Source organism: Homo sapiens, chromosome 1, assembly GCF_000001405.40.
Source record: "Homo sapiens chromosome 1, GRCh38.p14 Primary Assembly".
Taxonomy (NCBI): domain Eukaryota; kingdom Metazoa; phylum Chordata; class Mammalia; order Primates; family Hominidae; genus Homo; species Homo sapiens.
This window is the reverse complement of record NC_000001.11, coordinates 230,064,093-230,082,568: the sequence shown is the minus strand read 5'-3', so window position 1 is coordinate 230,082,568 and position 18,476 is coordinate 230,064,093. Positions and strand designations below refer to the sequence as shown.

Below are 18,476 nucleotides of genomic sequence, written 5' to 3'. Positions count from 1 at the left end.
CTCCTCTGGCTCAGCACTGAGGAAGTAGGGATAAGGAGAGTCGGCTGCAGGAGGAATGGCACATTGGAGATCTCTCCAAGGTAGGCCAACTCCAGAGGCCCTAGGAAGAGATGACCAGCCTGAATGGCTGTGGAACTGCAAAGGCAAGGCAGGGCTTAAAGCCAGACACCTATGAAATCACCAACCCATCAGCTCACTCAATCATGTCCATTAATCCATTAAGCCTGCTTTGTTCTACGGTGCCCCTGGAAACTTACACAGCACTTTGACCGATTAGAGAACCTTAAAAATGTAACCCAAATGTGACACCTGCTTCATTCAGCACCACAGCTTCACCTTACACAAAGAAACAGAGACCTTCCCAGATTGAAGGCAACTCCACATTGCCCAAAGGAGGGACACGGACTAGAGAAGAAGGATGGAAAAGCCTGCCTCACCAGGTGCCTCTGCACCCCGACTGACACTCCTAGTCCAAAAATTCACACCTGATGTCACCACTGACCTGCAGGTCTGCTCTAAGCAAGACCCGTCCTGGGTCAGAGAAGTCAAGCCAGACCAGCCCCAGAAGTACCTGCAGGAAGGGAGAGCAAGCACAAATAAACGTCCTCACTAAGCTCGTCAGCATCATCTTCATCAACTCACTAACTCTCTTTTCCAGACAAGGAAACGCAAGCCAATGTCCCACAGCTACTCCGTAGTAACAGCAGGATCTGAACCAGGTCTAACATGACAGGCCAGGCTCCCAACCACTGTGCCATCCTTCCTCGTCATGGTTAGCATGACCAAACGTGGGTTTTCACACAGGTCATTCCTCCTTAAAATCATCACAGAGTGTATCTATTGATCTGCAATCCAGTTGTGAGTTGTCTTAATTAGAGCCATCAGCAAAGCCACGTGAGCACTTTTCTAATTGACAGAACTAGTCCTCAGCCCTCACAGGGGGGCTTTGTTGCATTGCCACAATTATTAATTTGTCTTCCACTTGTCACTCATCTGCAGTTTCAAAAGCAAGCCAGAAACTGAACTAATGAAAGAACATTTCCTAATTAAAACCTTGCAGAAAAGTTTTCAAATTAACACGCTATATTCAGATAGTAACAGCTCAAGATGTTGAAAAATCCAATTGCCAATAAGAGTATTAAAAAATTAAACAGCACGCACTTAAAACCATATCTCGGTATAATTTTTCAAAGACAAGCTGGAAAAGATTAAGGGTGGAATTGGGAAATAATCTCCTGGCCACTGAACACTGGATGGGGAAAGGGTTCTGGCCTGAAGCTACCTGCAGAACCCCAGGGGCCACTCGGTCCTCACACCAGCTGGGGGGGACCCTGACCAGCTTCCTCATGCTGTCTGGGGCTCAGATTCCCCACCCAAGGAAGAAGCAAAGGGCTGCAGGAGCCCCTTCATCCTCACACTCCTTCCAAAACAACCCACCTACCTAGGAATGACAGTTTCAGGCATGGTCTGCGGAGGCTGGAGGCGCTTTCGAGGAAAGTAGGTTGGTTCACTTCAAACCTGGCAGAGGAGGCTGGCTCTGGCTGGGGAACAGGAGCCTCTGGGCTCGTGAATGCCTGCGACGTGTCACATGTGATGTGAGAGCACACTGATGCAGCTTCCCCAAGAACCCGTGTCAACACCTCCCCGCCTTCAAAGTGACAGTTGACATTAGCAACAGCAGTTAACACTTTTAAGCACTTACTATGTATGTACCAGGCACCATTCTGAGCATTTTACATAAACTAATTTATTCATCATTGAACAACCTGATGATAGGTGAATGGGGAAACTGAGGCACTGAAGGGTTAAGTGACTTGCCTGAGGCCACAGAGCTAACTGGATAAGCCAGAATGCACACCCAGAGTCTGCTCCGGAGCCCAGGCCAGTGGCCCCTGTGCTATGCATCCTCTCTGCCATGTCACAGCAGCCCCAGAAAGACACCCAGAGCTAGCTGTCCACCAAGAGCTCCCATGCACAAGCCTCCTGGGCTTCTGCTGTCAAACGAGGCTAGGGCCAGAAACAGGCAAAACTGTTTCCAAAGCCCCCAGTATGGATTTACAGAGTCACCCTGGCAACCTGCTGATGCTAGACCTTCCCGCTGGCACCAGGACCTAAATGGCAAGTGGTCAGAGCACCACTGCTTGGGACATCACACTGCTTCATGCACGGGGCCTGATGTCAAGGCCTGCTCCCTGGGTCAACAGGACTCGAATTTCTGCAGAAAGCTCCGACTCTGAACACACATCAGTCCTCCACCGAGGCCTCCCCTTCTCCACAGTAACCTAAAATAAAAACTTACATAGCTGATGAGAGCTTCGCTTCCAAACAACTATGGCACATTTGATAATGATGTCGGCGCTTTGCAACACTGGAATAAAAAAATTAGATCACCAAAAATATCCTTCCAGGGCCAGTACAAGGAAAATGACTCCACACACTCTCCACTGCCAGTTAGGGAGAAAAATCCTCTAAACTAAAACCTATGTCTTAAGTACAAACACTACTGCAATTATGACATATGCCAAGTCACATTTATTACCAGGAAGAGGGGAAACTTTACCTCTATCCCTTTTCTTTCTAAAACAAAGGACGCCAAATTCACATCTTCCTAGGCAAATGCTTAGTGACCCAGATTACTTCTTGACCCATAAGAATGTGTGAGCTCCTAAGTTACTGAAGTGCAGATGGAGGCTGAGCCTCAGCAACCCTCTCCATAGGGACATTCCTCATGAGCCCGTCTGCCTCCATGAGCCCAATTATGAGGCCTGGACAGCCACAGTTATGTTCCTTTCATGACGGCCAGCCTCAGGCCTGGAGCTTAGACCATCCAAGAACCCAGACTTGAATTACATTCTCCTCCCGGCTCTCTGCTTCTCGATCATCCACATCAGCAGTTTCAATAAAGGGTTAGTAGATCACCAGCCCCAGTAATCAGCACCTTCCAAGCCTGAAGCTGCAGCTCTGCGTCAGCAAGAGGGAAACCTGCTATTTGTAACCTGATGTTTCACGAACTATAGCTTTACTAAGACCAGGACAGCCAGGGCTGACTTTCTCCAGAGCCGTACTTTAGGCAGGTGGAGGAACACTGAAATTCTAGTCCCAACTTTGCTACTGCATGACCCGTGGGGCAGGCTAGTAACCTGTGGGTCCATCAGAAACTGTGTGTGAATGTGGGAAGAAAAGCTGTTCTTTCTCCCCAGCTGTTCATTCTCCCAGGCATGCTGAAAAGCAAGACAAATGAGCAATGGCTCTAAAGCATTTCAGACATCTCAGAGACAAAGCTGACATAAATTTGAAGTACCAGGAATTATACCTTACAGAAGATACGCAGTATCATAATTTGCCAAAATCTCTTATTGACAAATACCACGTAAAATAGCCTTTAGCATCAATATCTTGTTGGGAGAACCAAAAGGACTAACACATATTTATTAACGGTCTCCCACTCAGCTTCCCAAGTCATCCACAGCTCCTGATGGATAGCTTATAACCACAAGCAAAGCTGCCTAGCATGAGTGAAAAATCTGGCAGAAAGACTGAACATAAAGAGGTGCCTGGCAAATGAGAAGGGTGTAGTCAAGATAATAAAACATCTGGCTGGACGCAGTGGCTCATGCCTGTTGTCCCAGCTACTTGGGAGGCTGAAGTGGAGAATCGCCTGAGCCCAGGAGTTTGAGGCTGCAGTGAGCTATGATCATGATCATGCCACTATACTCCAGCCTGGGTGATAGGGTGAGACCCTGACTCTAAAAATAAATAAATAAAATAAAATAAAACATCTACAGTGAACTCTGGTGGGTAACAGGGTCTTTGGTCCACCGGGCAGTCTGCTTAGGCAGAAATGACCTCACAGACCGCCTGAGCTCATCCTCTACCACCAGAAACTGCACCAGGATTAGCAATTTCCAAAGAATGTAGATACTCCTCACAGAAGAAACAGCAACCAATGTAAGAATGCTTCCCTGGTGATACAGGTACTAAGTCAGGATCTAACGTGATCTCTGATGCTCCCTATGAAAAGAATCACTGTGGAATATCCCAAACTACAGAAGAGCTGTGAGGCAGAAGCACCTCTGGACTAATACGATCACAAACCCTTTGAGCTGCTTTTTACAAAAATACTAGTTTTCAGCTGCTTCTTTAATTTATGCTGCATACATGAGTAAATATCTTTTTAAATTTTTTAAATGAACTTTTCAAAAGTACACAAAAATAAAACAGTAGAATGAACTCCATGAACCCACTGGTCAACTTCAACAGCACATCTGGCTTCTTCCATGATCCCCCCCCAAATACGACACATTGTATCCACAGTTTGTATTGTTCTTCAAAAAATAAGGATTTTTAATAATATAACCACTAATAAAGTAGGAATTGCCTTAATTGCAGATGTGCAACCCGCAGATATGAAGGCCCAACTGCAATGTGACACACGAGAAAAAGAAAGGCTGTAATTGGTCAATTCTAAGATGCCCTTTCCTCCACCACCCCCGACTGGAATGCAGCTCACAATCAATGACGTCGGCAATGCTATGGGCTGGGCAAGGCCCATGATGCATTCTTACCAGCCCATGCTCAATCATCCACATCTGCAGGACATATACGTCAATGGCTTAGAAGAAAATCCAAGAAACGACAATGAAGCAAGCACTCTTAATCCCTAAAAACCAAATCATGGTGGGATAGGAATGGATGGTGAATTGAGGAGTTAGGCAAAATTCCCAGAAGAGTCAAAGGCTGGCTACCTCGACTTCATTGCCAAGCTGTCTTCAAAGTCCAGAACCAATGGCTCTTAGTATTTTTATGGATTTTTTTCCTTAGGAAATGCTACATCACCAGCGCTTTTGGTGGCACAGTGGATGACTCTGTTTGAAGAAAATAGGCACTAACATCTGAGTCAAAAAGTGACTCAGAGTGCTTGGACTCTGAAAAACTTTTAGAACACTTTGCTCAATGTATTTCACTTGTATTTTCCTTTGTATCTATCTATGCCCGAGAGTGATATATGGAAAAATTGATGTCTCGGTCTGAAAGAGCTCTTTCAATAAGTAGAAAATAAGAATGCCAACTGATAAGAACCCGTTGTGTCACAGGTCAATGGACAGTGTTTTTTCTTTCCTAGTGGTCCACAAAATAATGGCATGTTTGACAAATAATGGCCTCTCGGAATTGATGAAAAAGTTGTATTCCAGACACAGGGGAAATTAGTGATGATCAAAAGTGAGACAGGAAGACAACTAAGTGAGCTCCCTGGCACAGGGGATGGGGCAGGACAAGGGCAGGAGGGGAAGGAGAGTGCGGCAGGGCAGGCCTTTTGAAGGTCACAGAGCAAAAGCTCAACATCTAGGTCAAGGGGAAAGCCCCAGAGGCAGCAAGGAGGAAACAATGAGACTGGGAGGCATCCCACACTGGGCCAACCCTCTCATCATCCAGGACAGCCATACAAATGCCCCTACCCAACAGTCATCTACACTTACCCAAATACTGATAACAGAGTACTTAATTCATGGGCATCTCCAAAACACAGGCCTTTAATTTGCACCGGCTCCTCAAGCTCTCACAGGGCAATTTAGCTAAGAAAGACCCTTCATTTGAAGTGCGTCATTTTTCTAGGGCAGCAGCCTGTCAGAAAGAAAAGAGTTCACTCCCTGGACTGGTCTCTGACGCAGAGAGGAAGAAACCTTGATGGCCACTCTTGAATGTGAAGGCCTCTCAAATTACCTGTTCTTTTTCCCGCCATGTAAATGCTCCAGTTGTTTTATCCAGAAGTACACTGGACGCACGGTGCCTAACCATCCCAATGGTTTTATGGGATTGGTACCTACCAATCCGATAAAATATCTAATGACCCTTCATAAATGAGAATGGCCTCTATGAAAAGCACCTGCATGCCCTCACCTTGAGAACCAGGACCAGCCACAACTTCCCACAGTTCCGCCTCCCTGAGATTGGCCATGAAGTCACATCTCCATTTTACTGTCCCCAAGTACAATACTATCTATCACAGAAGCTCAGTGTTACCCACATTGCCAAGAATAACCCCCCTCTCCAAAGCCTGGGTATCAGGCAGGCATCTGATCTCTGGTTTCCTGCAAATATGAATCAACAAACCCCACTCCCACCCGCAGCAACTCCCAAAGATCACATCACAGCGGAAATCCTGTGCTGGAAAAGGTGCACAGGGACCCAGGGGGATTTCTCGTTAAACAGCAATATGTGCAGAAAGCACTTTAAGAATGTGTACTGTTCTTCAATGGTGCACCTAACAATGAATGACTTACCCGATGCTTGGTGCTTCACAGAAGTCAGCTCAGGAATCAAGAAATGAGATTGTTCCACAAGCATATCCCACGAAGCTGATCAGCAAATTAAACTGCTGGAGCAGTCTAAATTAAAACTGCCTCGAGCAGCTGCAGGTCTGTAGTAAGGGAAGCGATTATGAGAGTACACACAACCTTTTAACCAGGATGCATTCATGCCTCATCGAGGAGACCAGAACAAGAACAGGTGACCAAGATGTCTACAGCATGGAGGGAAACTCCACCACTAGCCAACCAAAGGCAACATCCTTCGGGAAAGAAAACTGGCTCATTTGTTTAGCAAAAGAAACCAAGGAGTAGAGAGATCACCGAAAAAGAGGCTGGACGAAGATGAAACCAGGGGCTACCTCTGAAGCAGAGGGAACCACAATGGCTCCCTCTTAGTCTCAGCTCCAATCCTGCCTTCCCCATGAGCCTACGTGATCACCACTTTAATACTGCAACTATCCTTCCGCCCTCATCCCTAATCCCCATACACTGCTCTATTTTTTCCACAGCACACAGCACCTTTCTGCACACGACGTAACTGACTTCATGTCTACTGTCTGGCTCCCCGCAGCCCCCCACTAGAATGAAAGCTCCAAGACCACAAGGATTCCGTGTCTGCTACAACAACTGGTGTACTCCCAAACACTCAAGCAGTGCCTGGCACATAGGAGGGTCTCAAGAGATACTCACTGAAAGAATAAATGAAAAGAACCAGAGCCAGTTTTCATCTCTGCTCCTTCCGGAGGGGCAGCTGAGGATTGCGGCCTTCAGGACAGGCAGAGGCCTGGAGGGTAGGAACACAAATTCCATGGAGCAAAAGGTAAAAATGAAGAAAAGAGCAGCCGGGCACGGTGGCTCACGCCTGTAATCCCAGCACTTTGGGAGGCCGAGGTGGGTGGATCACTTGAGGTCAGGAGTTTGAGACCAGCCTGGGTGGTGAAACCCTGTCTCTATTAAAAATACAAAAATCAGCTGGGCATGGTGGTAGGTGCCTGTAATCCTAGCCACTCAGGAGGCTGAGGCACAAGAATCGCTTGAACCCGGGAGGCGGAGGTTGCAGTGAGCCGAGATTGTGCCACTGCACTCCAGCCTGGGCGACAGAGTGAGACTTTGTCTCAAAAAAAAAAAAAAAAAAAAAAGCAAAACAGACCAGCACTACTATCAAAGCATTATCAAGTGTGCATCTGCTCCAAGATGCCTTCCAGGAACTTTCCAAATGAGGCCGCAGTATGAGGGCACTGCCAATGCAAGGAAGGGGCATGGGAGGCCCAGGGAGCAGGAGCAAGCCAGGTTCACTGCTGGCTGGCAGAAACCCTCGGCCAGGAGTTGCAGAAAAACCCCACTGCCTCCAGAGGCCCTGAGGAGATCTCTTCCACCAGACAACCCTGGGTCTGCCACCTGTGAGCTCTGTGACCTTGGGAAAGTCACTTAACCTTTCTGTGCTTCAGTTTCATCAGTACACTAGAAGAAATAAAAGGGCTGAGATGAAATGCAGCCCTTTTATTTCTATGCACAGTGAGTGCCATGAAAGTGTTTATTAAATTTTGAAAATTAAAACGTATTAATATATTAGCCCTCCCCACAGTGGTTCACCCCAGACCACACAGAAAGGCAGTCTCATTACAAGAAGGTCTAACCATAATGGCTCAGACAGAAGGAATGAAATCAAAATTAACGGACTAAGGCAGTGGTTCTCTACCAAGGGCAATTCTGCCCACCTCCCACCCTCGCCAGGACACTTGGCAATGTCTGCACATTTTTGGTTGTTACAACTTGGAAGATCAGGGGTGGGAGAACTACTGGCATCTAGTGGGGAGAGGCTGGGGAAGCTGCTACACATCATACAATGCAGAGGACAGCCTTGCACAACAAAGAATGATCCAGCCCAGTGCAGTCGCTCACACCTGGAATCCCAATGCTTTGGGAGGCCAAGGCAGGAGGACCGCTTGAGCCCAGCCTGGGCAACATAGTGAAACCCTGTCCCTACAAAAAATTTAAAAATTAGCCTGCTGTGGTGACACATGCCTATAGTCTTAGCTACTCGGTAGGGTGAGGTGAAAGGATCACCTGAGCCCAGGAGTTTGAGGCTACAGTTAGCTCTGGTTGTACCACTGAGCTCTAACCTGGGTGGCAGAGTACAACTGTCTTAAAAAAAAAAAAAAGCCAGCCAAAAATGTCAATGGTGCCAGAGTTAAGAAACTGAACCAGAGCAACCACAGTCCCGAAAGTACCCTTGTCCCTGCCCAAATGCATGTCCTGACCTGAACTCTGGAAATTCAGTAACTCTACCCCCAACCCTCCTGGCCATTCCTCTTCCCTAAGAGTTAGGGACAGAAAACTGCCAGCCATGGGCAGGAGGAGGTGGTCAGCAGAGTGGCCTAGGAGAGACTCTCTGTTCCATGGGGAGCTCCTGGAAGGCTGCGGCAGAAGGGACAGTTGACCAGGGCAAGCAGCCAGCAAGGGCAGGCTGAGCCATGAGGGATCGGCCCATTTCCCAGCCCCCAGGCAGCCAGCCCTTAACTGCTTCTTTGTGACAGCCCGCCTCAGTGAGACAAGGGGCTCATATAACTCCCATAGCCTGGGAAAGCTTTTTAAATGTAAGCCTATGAGTGAGACTCTATGTGACAGTTTTTGTTTATCTCCAAATCCGGCCCTGATGAATCACTGTCATCTACATTTCAGCATGCTAAGAAACCTAATCCATATAAAACACCCCATGCTTCTGGGGCCCATACTAGTAGACATGACTAAGTGCAAAAATGCCAGTGTTTCACCCTGTGCTGCAGGAGGCAAGAGCCAGGCAGGAGCACAGTGCCACCTGCTTAGAGCAGGGAACCCTAGAAAGGTGGGGGCCCATCAGGGAAGATGGATTAGTGTCTTGAGCCCCTTTTATTTCCATGGTTTACAATAGAGAAAGGTGGGAGAGGCTTTCTGGACTGGGCAGGTAATCTGAAGACAGCTTTCCTGCCAACTCCATACTGGGTTCATCATGAAGATCAAGCACAGGGCCAAGGTAAAGGAATCTTCACACTGTTAAGAGAACAAGGTCAAGTTCCACTCTAAGGACAGGAGTGATCACTGGTGAGCACACATCAATGAATTCAATGTAATTCTCCATAGAGGAGAGTTCCCCGCCAGGCCCAGCCTATCCCAGACCCATTCAGGGGGGTTTGCATATGGAAGTACCAAGACATCCCTCCTCCTTAAAAACACCTCACCCATAAGGCAGTCTAGAGGCAAGGCCACAAGATTACAATGGTGGAACCAGAACTCTCAACAGTAACAGTGAATCAAGACTTACTCAGAGGGAAAAGGGATTGTTCCCATCATGGAAGTGGGGCTAGGCCTCCTTCTATCCAAGTGGCACATTTGCAGGGGTGACAATCAGCATGTTCACTATGGCACAGGCACAGAAGTGGGTCCAAGAGGCCCCTCAAGTGTCAGGATTCAACCCTTTGATTGCTGAACATGGGAAAGAGATCCCAAGGAAAGACCAGGGCAGCTAGGAACCGGAGGGCACTCAGGGGGTCTCAAGGCAGAGCATATTTAACAACCAGCATGGAAGTGCCCCACTGTTACATGTGAGTGGCATGGCTAAGCCAGTGTGTTTCCATCTGGATATCCACTGACTTGTACGGCTCAGCATCACCCATGCAGAGCTTCCAGAAGAGGCTTCACAAGGACAAAAGCACAAAAACCAACAGGGAGCATAGACTTGGCCAGGTTTGTGTGTTTTCTCATCACGTGAATTCTGCTGGGCACTCCAGGAGACTTCACAGGCTTTTCCCAGGAATACCTAGCTTCCCTTCCTGGGATCTCAGCCAGAGCCTCACAGTCGACTCCTGCTTACACCTGTGTCTCTGTCCCAGGCAGCCTCACCGCACCCCCCGCCACCCCCGCCCCACCACACCTGCTTTCACTAAGCCCACTGCCTCTGGACTTGCTAGAAGTTAGGCAGGACAGTGGCCTTGCCTGCTTTGACACTAAAATCAGTATCTTCCCAAACTGACTTCCCTCTCCCCAAAGCCCTAAGAAACATGAGCAGTAGCAAGAAGAAATTATGTCTTCCCCAACCCAATCTCCCCCACCCCCTCTCCCATCATTTTTCTGACCACCTCTTCCTCTGTTCCAAACAGGAGACCAACCACTCACCCATCATTCATCCAAACAGGAGCTAGGGTGGGGAAACTGACAGCGGGTCTGAAGACTCATAAAACCTTCACCAGCCTCCCAGGTGTCCCCCACCCCAAGGTCCAACAGAGCCTGGGCAAGCTGACCCCACTCAGTGCTGGGTAAAGCAGTTGCTTTTTCATTTTTGCTCAAGGGTCTAGGGAAGAGCTCGTTACTTTTGCACTGTTCAGCAGTCACACAATCTGTTTCCATTATGTTTGCTGACCCAGAGGCAGCCACAGCTTCACTCCAGAATTGGGAAACTTTATTTTCTTTAAAGAGAGAAGTTTATGTTACAGTGCCACTGTCGGATTATCTGGCTATACAGTGGTTTTCCCTGCTACTGTCCTCCCTGTGTCAACTTCAAACTCTCATTTGAAGTGGACTTTCTTTAAACTCCAAACTGATGATAGGTGGCAAGGAGTGGTATGGGTGTTCCCCTCCGCATCCACCAAGATGCTCACAGATTTTTGGCACCCATTAAACCACGTGAGGGCCCCATGCTCCACCTCAAGTCATGCATGCTTCCAGGGATCACAGCGACCTGCCCTTCTAACAAGAGGGGCAGGGCTACAGAGGGAGAGCAGTGGAGCTCAGAACCTGGGATCCCACCACAGGAACCCCTCGTTCAGGGACACGTCTGTCCACTGTTGGACACTACAACTGCCTAACCGCCAAGGCAAGCTGCACCCTCCACCCACATTCCCGATGGCTGCCCACTACTGGGATCCCCATTCTGACACCACAATTGGGTACAAGAGAGCTGGCATGGTGTCTGGACAACTTCCCAAAAAGTCCGTCTCTAACAGCATTTAAGATTCATAGCCCAAACCCCAAATGAACCAGTCAGATCAATCTCAGAGGTGGGGGTAACGGATAAAAAAAAGAAAGACGACTATTTTCCAGAAATCAAGAATTGTATCAGGAATACCGTGAACTTAAGATTCCTGGTTCACTACACTTTCAAGGGGATATTTAGGCTTTTATTTTTTCATTTTCCTCTTTTAGAGATAGCAGTTATTCAGCACCCACTAACAGTATTTAACTCTCCGAACAAGGCCATGAGGTAAGAATGATTACTCCCACTGCAAAGATGAGGAAACTGAGGGTCAGAGAGGTTCAATGCATCAGTGAAGGTCACTAAGCACAAAGAGGTAAACAGCTAGGTCTCACTCAATGCCAATAAGTGGATTTGTGCCATTTCCCTTTAATGTCTACTACTAGCTCAAAAACATTACTAGTTCCCAAATGGTTCAGCTTGGCATTTGAAGCCCGTTACAATTTAGTTCTGAATTTCTCCAACTTTACACCCTAACGTTCCCCTCCATGTGTACCATGGTCTAGCCCGGCAAGGTCCTTCACTGTTCCAAGAAATAACCTGCCCGCCTCCCCGCATGATTCCTAGAAGATCCCACCCAAAGTCCCCCACCCTTGGACTCTCGGGCAAGGGCCACAGGACTCGTGCCAGCTCAGGGAATAAGGGTGATGCTACTGTGCAAAGTGGACAGGCTCCCAGGGCTCCGGATCATGTCCCTCAACTAACACCGTCCCTTACCTCCCAGCATGCAGGCACACAGGCAAGGGGTCTCAGGCTCCACACACTCTTACAGCAGAGAGAAAACCCTTCCCTTTCCACCCTAAACAGCCACACTTCACCCACAGGCAGCTTCATTTCCAGAGAAATCCCTTCCTCTCTTCTGCGGCTCCATCCACTGCCAACGTACCAAAGCCCAGGGGAGACTTAACATGGTTAAAATTTTAAAGCATTTAAGAAGCTCAAAGGAAAGGCACGCTTGAAGTGCAAATCATCAATTTAGGGGGAAAGAGCAAAATATGGGGGGAAAGGGTATGGACACAAATGTAAATGAAACATAATTTTAAACAATATTTTGAATAAACTGCTTTAACATACATGTCCTGAGCCTGGGTGTTGAGTCCCGAGTTGTGCGGCAGTGCCTGAGATTGGTCTTCAGCACTCCCTCCTGCTTAGTTTACTAAACCTGCAATCTGAGGTGAGCTGGCTCTCTGGGTTTTGCCAAGTGGAGAATAACAGTTCTGTGATGAGTTACTTAACAGGCAGGGCACACAATGACAAGCCTGGGCTGGGCTGCTGAAGCAGCAGAAATCCTAGTTGGACTCCCCTCAGACGATCCCTAAAGCCCAATACTGCAGCCTAGTACCCTATGAAAAACGTCAGGATGTGCAGAAACTGGCTAAATATGGAATAAAAGCCCTGACTTGAACAGTATGAGGCAAGAGAAAAAATATAGGTCCACTTATCTCTAAAAAAACTATAGCTAGCTTTTAAATTCTGCCTTTCTGTGCATGGCCCGCTATCTTTTTTTATGTCCATACTTTACAAGCCAAACAAACCACATTTTTTTTTTGGTATGAGAATGAAATAAATTTAGAGACACTTCTAGTGTCTAAATCCATGGAAACAATTGGGGAAGAAAGAAGACTACACGATTTTCCTATACATCAGGCATTCGTGACAGCAGGGCTCTATTTACCTCCTTCAGAAACCATCTTAAGGCTTCTCTTTAACCCTGGGTCCACCACACGAAGTTAATGAGTCTTCCACTGCAATTTCAAAAGCTATTGCATTTACACACCTCTTCCTCAACCGACAAATCACTAAAGCATCCTAAGGGGTAGCATTAAATTTTATGGTTCGTTGACAGAAAGAATAGAATCCCAAATCACCAATCCATGTGTAATTAATTGTTCATTTCCCCCACTTTTTCTACCTGGTCTCCGTACCTGTCTATATTGCCACCAGGAATTCTTTAAAAAAAACAAAACAAAACAAAACAAAACAAAAAAAAACAAACTAAGAATCACACACTTCAGGAGTGTCTGAAGACTTCTGCATGGAAGACCCCTCACACCATCCAGGAACTGAAGCCCACCAGAGTGAGGAATCAGCCTCCGGGAGGCGAACGAGCACGCTTGCTCTTTCTAATCACGTGTACTAATGAAAGTGGCAGACTAAGGAAAGAGAAACGCCAAGGGTGGCTTATGTGTTTGGTTTTCTTTGCATGAAAGGCAGAAAGCTTTGCCAGGTCTCACCAGCACACCAGGCTATGCAGAGTGGCCAAGGCACAGTTTACCGGGAAGCAAAGTTTTAAAAATCATTCCAGTTTTACACGATTATATCTCTGAATGGACTGCACGGCTTTTGCTGCCTGCATGCTCTTTGCTGTTCAAGAATAAACCAAGTCTTCGCGTACATATACTACCTATACCATTTTTTACAAAAACAACGCTAAGAGTACAATGTCAGCTCAGAAGCTAGGCCGATTCAGCACGTGGAAAGAGGGCTTTATTTCTGCCCTTCTAGATAAAACAAATCCACGTAATTTACCAGAAACCACATAAGGCACCCATTCCACCTAACATCTTCGGCTATGAATGAATGAATGAAGCAAAGAAAAAACCTCTGAAGCAGCCAAACCCCGGCGTGGACATTTAGGGGTCTGACTTCAGAACTGAAGTCTGTTCATCTAGTTAGTTCCCTCTGGCTTGTTTCAGGATACCACTCTCTTGTTCCAACCCAACCACCCGTAGTCCATCTCCATTAACTCAGAATTTTCTGGGTTTGCGGTGACACTAAATGTCACAGTAACGAGGGTTACAGGAATTCGGAAAAGATAACGCTGCTTTCAAAGCCGAGGAGCCAGTAAAACACTACAAACGTCCCCTGCCGGCATGCTCCAGCACACAGCCCGACGCCCTGCTCTCCCGGCCGGCGCTCGGCCGCAGGACCGCGCTGTCCCGGCTCCTCTCGGCGCTCACCATCCTCCCGAATGCCCAGGGCCCGGCCGTCCGGAGCGGCGGCACGAGGACGCGGAACCGCAGAGCGGCTCACACGGTCCCCACAGCCAGATCACTCGGCCCCTGGAGCATGTTAAAAACACAGCCACAGAAGAGGGATTCTCCCTGAAGCGGGGAGTGGGGATGGAAAATGCAAGCGCAGGAGGCCACGTCCGGCTCGCGCGGGAGGGCCGGGGGCCGGGTTGGGCAGAGGGTAACGCTGGGGCCGCAAGGGAACGGCCGGGACTGGCCTCGCTCGGGGCGCAGGGGCGCACTGGCCCCTGGCTCGCACGGGCCCTGGGGCTTTACTTGGCACGGGAGCGGCCGCCCCTGCCCCCCAAAGGTAAAGGGCAAAGAAGGTGGCAGAAACACGGAACCCACGCCCCGCGGAGTGACAGGGGGAAAGGGACGAGGATTTGCAGCCGCTGGTATCAAAGGGCTGAAAAGAAACTTGGACTCCTCTCTCCTGCTGTACATGACGCGTTGGAAAAGCGGTCGCCTCTCTCTCCTCTCCTCCCCACCCCCTTTGTGTTTCCCAACACCCCCATCCCTAAACTTCCAACCGCAGGGGATGGGGCTCCCGGCGGCCGGACAAGACTCGAATTACGACGAGCAGAGAGAGGGGCGACGTCCACGAGAGGGGGCAGAGAAAGGCTGCGGGGGCCGCCCTTTCGGAGCCCGGCGTGCGCAGAGGGGCCGGGTGCACCCCTGCCCTGGGCACTCGGCGCGGAGGCCCGGGACGAGGGCGGGCGACGCGAGCGGAGGTCCGGGCGGAGGAGCGCAGGGGCGGCGCGGAGAGGGCAGGGGACAGGGGCGCAGGGTGGGGGGTGGGCGCAGGGGCCCGGCCGCGGCAGGGCGCTCCACTCACCTTCCTGCCGGCGCCGCCGCCCGCGCCCCCGGCCAGCGCAGAGCCGCCCCCCGAGTACATGTAGTAGGCGATGCCCAGCACCCACAGGAAGGCGAAGCAGAGCAGCATCCGCGAGCGCCGCCGCATTCTCCCAACTCGGCCGCCGGCGGGGCCGCCGCTGCTCGCGAGTGCTGCCTGGGCCGGCCGCGGGCGCGGTGGGGGCCGGGGGAGGAGCGGAGGAAGGGGAAGGGCGCGGCGGCGGCTCCTCCTCCCGCGCGGTGCTACTGCTCGGCGGCGGCGCGCACTCGGCGCCCGAGCTCCGCCCCGGGCCGGCGGCGCCGCGCGGCACCAGAGCAGGAAGCAGCGGCCTCGGAGGCGGCGAGGGGGGTCAGGGAGCAAAGGGCGACCAATCGGCGGCGGCTGCGGGGGCCGGGGCGCGGGCCGCGGGAGGGGACTGCCGCGTCTCCATGGCTGCAGCACGCCGGGCTCCGCCGTGAGGGCCTGGGCGCCGCCCCGCCCCCGGCCGCCCGCCCCTCAGCGTGCTCCCCCCGCCGGCCGCCCCCTCCCCCGTGAGTGACAGGTGGCTGCCCCGGGACCCGACTGGAGCGCGCGCACACGTGGGCAAAGAGCCTTGCTCACGCACACGGGGCCTCTCGATTACGGGGGCGGTAGTGGCCTCGGTGCTTCCTGCCCAGACTGTCACCTCTTCAGCCTTGGTCTTTGGGGCCACCTCAGACCCTTAACGGGCTTGCTCTTATTGGCCAACTGACCTGAGTTTTTGGTGCAAACCGCCCGCTTGAACCCGACTTTGCTGCTGCTTGCTGCAGTTTTCTCACTAATCTTGCAGCAAAACATTCCTGACCCGCTGGTATCGATTTTATTTATCTATATAGGCAGATGTGGAGGTTTTGAGTTGGTAGGAACTGAGAAGGTAATTTTCAAAAGAACATTTTTCTGTGGGTGACAGAGCTATCAATGGTAGAGTTGTTCTTTTCAATAAACACAAAATGAGGAAGAAGGAAAGCAATAATATATTGTTTAAAATCTTTTCTTTCTCATTCGTTGCGTTCTTTAAAAAGCACATTAAGCATCTTTAACGATACAAGAAAACGATCTGTCTTGTAACATAATCTATGTAACCTTGGTGATGCCCTTGCAACACGCAAAGCTTCCAGTGTTCCTAAGAAAGACAGAAATTTTACTTAGAACTTGATATATTAAATGTTTTCAGGAGCTTCTCGGTCAGAGGATAATGGCAGCTGCCTGATATAAGTCCGTACCCATATCCTCAACGAAACAAAAACAAGCCTTCAGCATTACTTAGAGAGAATGCCATGAACTGAACATTAAATTACTTAAGTAGAAGAAAGAAAAGATACCAAATTCCAACTGAGCTCCCTCCACTATTGCCAAGGACTTAAGTGAAGTACAGGGTTGTCACCTCTTTATAAATAGAAAGTCCAACACCAAGAACTAAAAACTGAACAGAGGTCAGGTGCCTTATTGATCAAGGGAAGAGATTTGAAAGAAAATGGGACAAGAGGTGAGAGGCTTGAAGGAGCCTTGTTTCTGGGAAAAAGTCAGATAAATACGAAAAGAAGATAATGTCCTTCAGAGGCCTGACAATGAAGGGAAAGAAGGAAGTCAGAAGGGAAAATTACAAATCCTGCAGAAATGAAAGAGAAGACAGCCAGTCCCCTCCCCAAACACCAACATTATCTATTAAAAACTGCATTTCAGTACACAGATAAAAGAAAACACTCTTGAACCGGGAACCCTGCCTCAAAATGCCTAGTAACAGAAAAACATCAAATCAACTGCATTTAAAGATTCTGCAAAAAGAAAACAGAAATCACATTTCTGATGATAAAAAATAAATCATAACATTTTCGCTGATGAAAACCCCCACAATAAAAACCATGAAGCATAAGAAAATTGTAATACCACATGTCAAACTGAACAAAGTGTCACGTATTTGTATACACATACACACACACACACATATCTAGGATAAGAAATTTCAAGAACTGAAGACAGACTAGACAAAAATTAGGAAGAAATGCAACAAGGGTTGAGCAAATTCAAGAAGGAAATTGAAAGTAATGACAAAAACTATCCCAGAAACAAAGAATAATTACAAGGTGTCCAAGGGAAAATATATTCAAATGAAAATATGTAAAAGGACACTGAAGAATGGCAAGAAAACAATCAAGAAATTGAAAATAATATAAAGATAGAAGTAAAAAGGTTCAGAGAGAAGAGGTTAAAATAAAAGCCAGGAAAGGAAGACCAAAATACATGTTAAGTGGAGTCCCTAAAGTACAAACATTAAACAATAAAACCTAATTAATATTAAAACTATAACCCCAGAAAATAATCCAGGAATAAGGGAAAATTTAAATGTACATGTCAAAAGTGACTTCCATGTACCTTGGGAAATGATCTGGAATTATCAACTCCTAAATATATTTTAGTAAAACGATTAGATTTTAAAGGCAAAAAAGATCAAATTGCTTATAGAGATAAAAATTTATGCTGGCATCAGACTTCTGAACAGCAACATGCAAAGCCAGGCAACAGTGGAGCAGCATTAACAAGGAACAAAAGTGCCAGGCAGGCTGGGCATAGTGGCTCATGCCTGTAATCCCAGCACTTTGGGAGGCCAGAGTGGGTGGATCACCTGAGGTCAGGAGTTCAAGACCAGCCTGGCCAAAGTGGTGAAACCCCATCACTAAAAAAAATATGAAACTTAGCCGGCAGGTGCCTGTAATCGCAGCTACTCGAGAGGCTGAGGTGGAAGAATCATTTGAACCCGGGAGGCAGAGGTTGCAGTGAGCTGAGATCATGCCATTGCACTCCAGCCTGGGTGACAGAGCGAGACTCCATGACACACACACAAAAAAGTACCAGGCAGTGATTTTTATACCCAGCCCTCAAGTGTCAAGGTTGTAGGCAAACAGATATGACCTGAATGCAAAAATTCAGAGAACGTGACTCACATGGGCCTTTCATGAGGAATCTTAGAGAATGAGCTTCCTCCAACCAAGAGACAGCTGAGGAAGCCAGCAGAGTGACTAATGGAGAGCATTTTGTATATTCAGAAGGTGAAAGACTAGTGTATATACATTATACTTTCTGATAAACTTAGAACAGGTGCAACTAAAGACAACTGGAGGAGAAGGGGAAGAGCGAAGGGAAAATAGAATAATATCATTGTCTGCAATATCAGTAGCAGGTAGTAGTGAAAGGATACCATATAAAACAGACAGACCAGATGTTAAAAGGTTAGAAACAAAATATAGGAATTAAGGGTAATATATTAAAAATATAAATAA

The 18,476-nt window shown here is 48.4% G+C and overlaps 1 protein-coding gene across 3 annotated transcripts in view, besides 5 other annotated features; it reads right to left on the bottom strand.

The window, feature by feature from the left end:
* The window catches only part of GALNT2 (polypeptide N-acetylgalactosaminyltransferase 2), a 224,334-nt gene that overhangs the window by 199,554 nt on the left and 6,304 nt on the right, over positions 1-18,476 (bottom strand). For 2 of the 3 annotated variants that reach the window (NR_120373.2, NM_004481.5), the window contains exon 1: positions 15,163-15,331. The exons of the other annotated variant lie outside the window; for it this stretch is intronic. Coding sequence is in view for 1 of the 2 variants with exons in the window: in NM_004481.5 (NP_004472.1) it covers positions 15,163-15,288 (126 nt within the window). In the remaining variant the exon portion in view is untranslated. Of the gene's footprint in view, positions 1-15,162; positions 15,332-18,476 lie in introns of those variants that run through there. 3 annotated transcript variants of the gene reach the window in all.
* Positions 10,891-11,071: a silencer, noted in NCBI's record as "fragment chr1:230207245-230207425 (GRCh37/hg19 assembly coordinates)". NCBI's record gives its function as "represses an EF-1alpha promoter that drives an FKBP-Casp9 reporter gene in an ReSE screen in both phorbol 12-myristate 13-acetate-treated (for megakaryocytic differentiation) and untreated K562 erythroleukemia cells {active_cell/tissue: K562 | K562(+PMA)}" and the evidence as "EXISTENCE:reporter gene assay evidence [ECO:0000049][PMID:32094911]".
* Positions 13,522-13,601: an enhancer, noted in NCBI's record as "active region_2709". NCBI's record gives its function as "activates an Ori minimal core promoter by ATAC-STARR-seq in GM12878 lymphoblastoid cells {active_cell/tissue: GM12878}" and the evidence as "EXISTENCE:reporter gene assay evidence [ECO:0000049][PMID:35858748]".
* Positions 14,516-14,575: a silencer, noted in NCBI's record as "silent region_1937". NCBI's record gives its function as "represses an Ori minimal core promoter by ATAC-STARR-seq in GM12878 lymphoblastoid cells {active_cell/tissue: GM12878}" and the evidence as "EXISTENCE:reporter gene assay evidence [ECO:0000049][PMID:35858748]".
* Positions 15,016-15,825: a silencer, noted in NCBI's record as "silent region_1936". NCBI's record gives its function as "represses an Ori minimal core promoter by ATAC-STARR-seq in GM12878 lymphoblastoid cells {active_cell/tissue: GM12878}" and the evidence as "EXISTENCE:reporter gene assay evidence [ECO:0000049][PMID:35858748]".
* Positions 15,956-16,115: an enhancer, noted in NCBI's record as "active region_2708". NCBI's record gives its function as "activates an Ori minimal core promoter by ATAC-STARR-seq in GM12878 lymphoblastoid cells {active_cell/tissue: GM12878}" and the evidence as "EXISTENCE:reporter gene assay evidence [ECO:0000049][PMID:35858748]".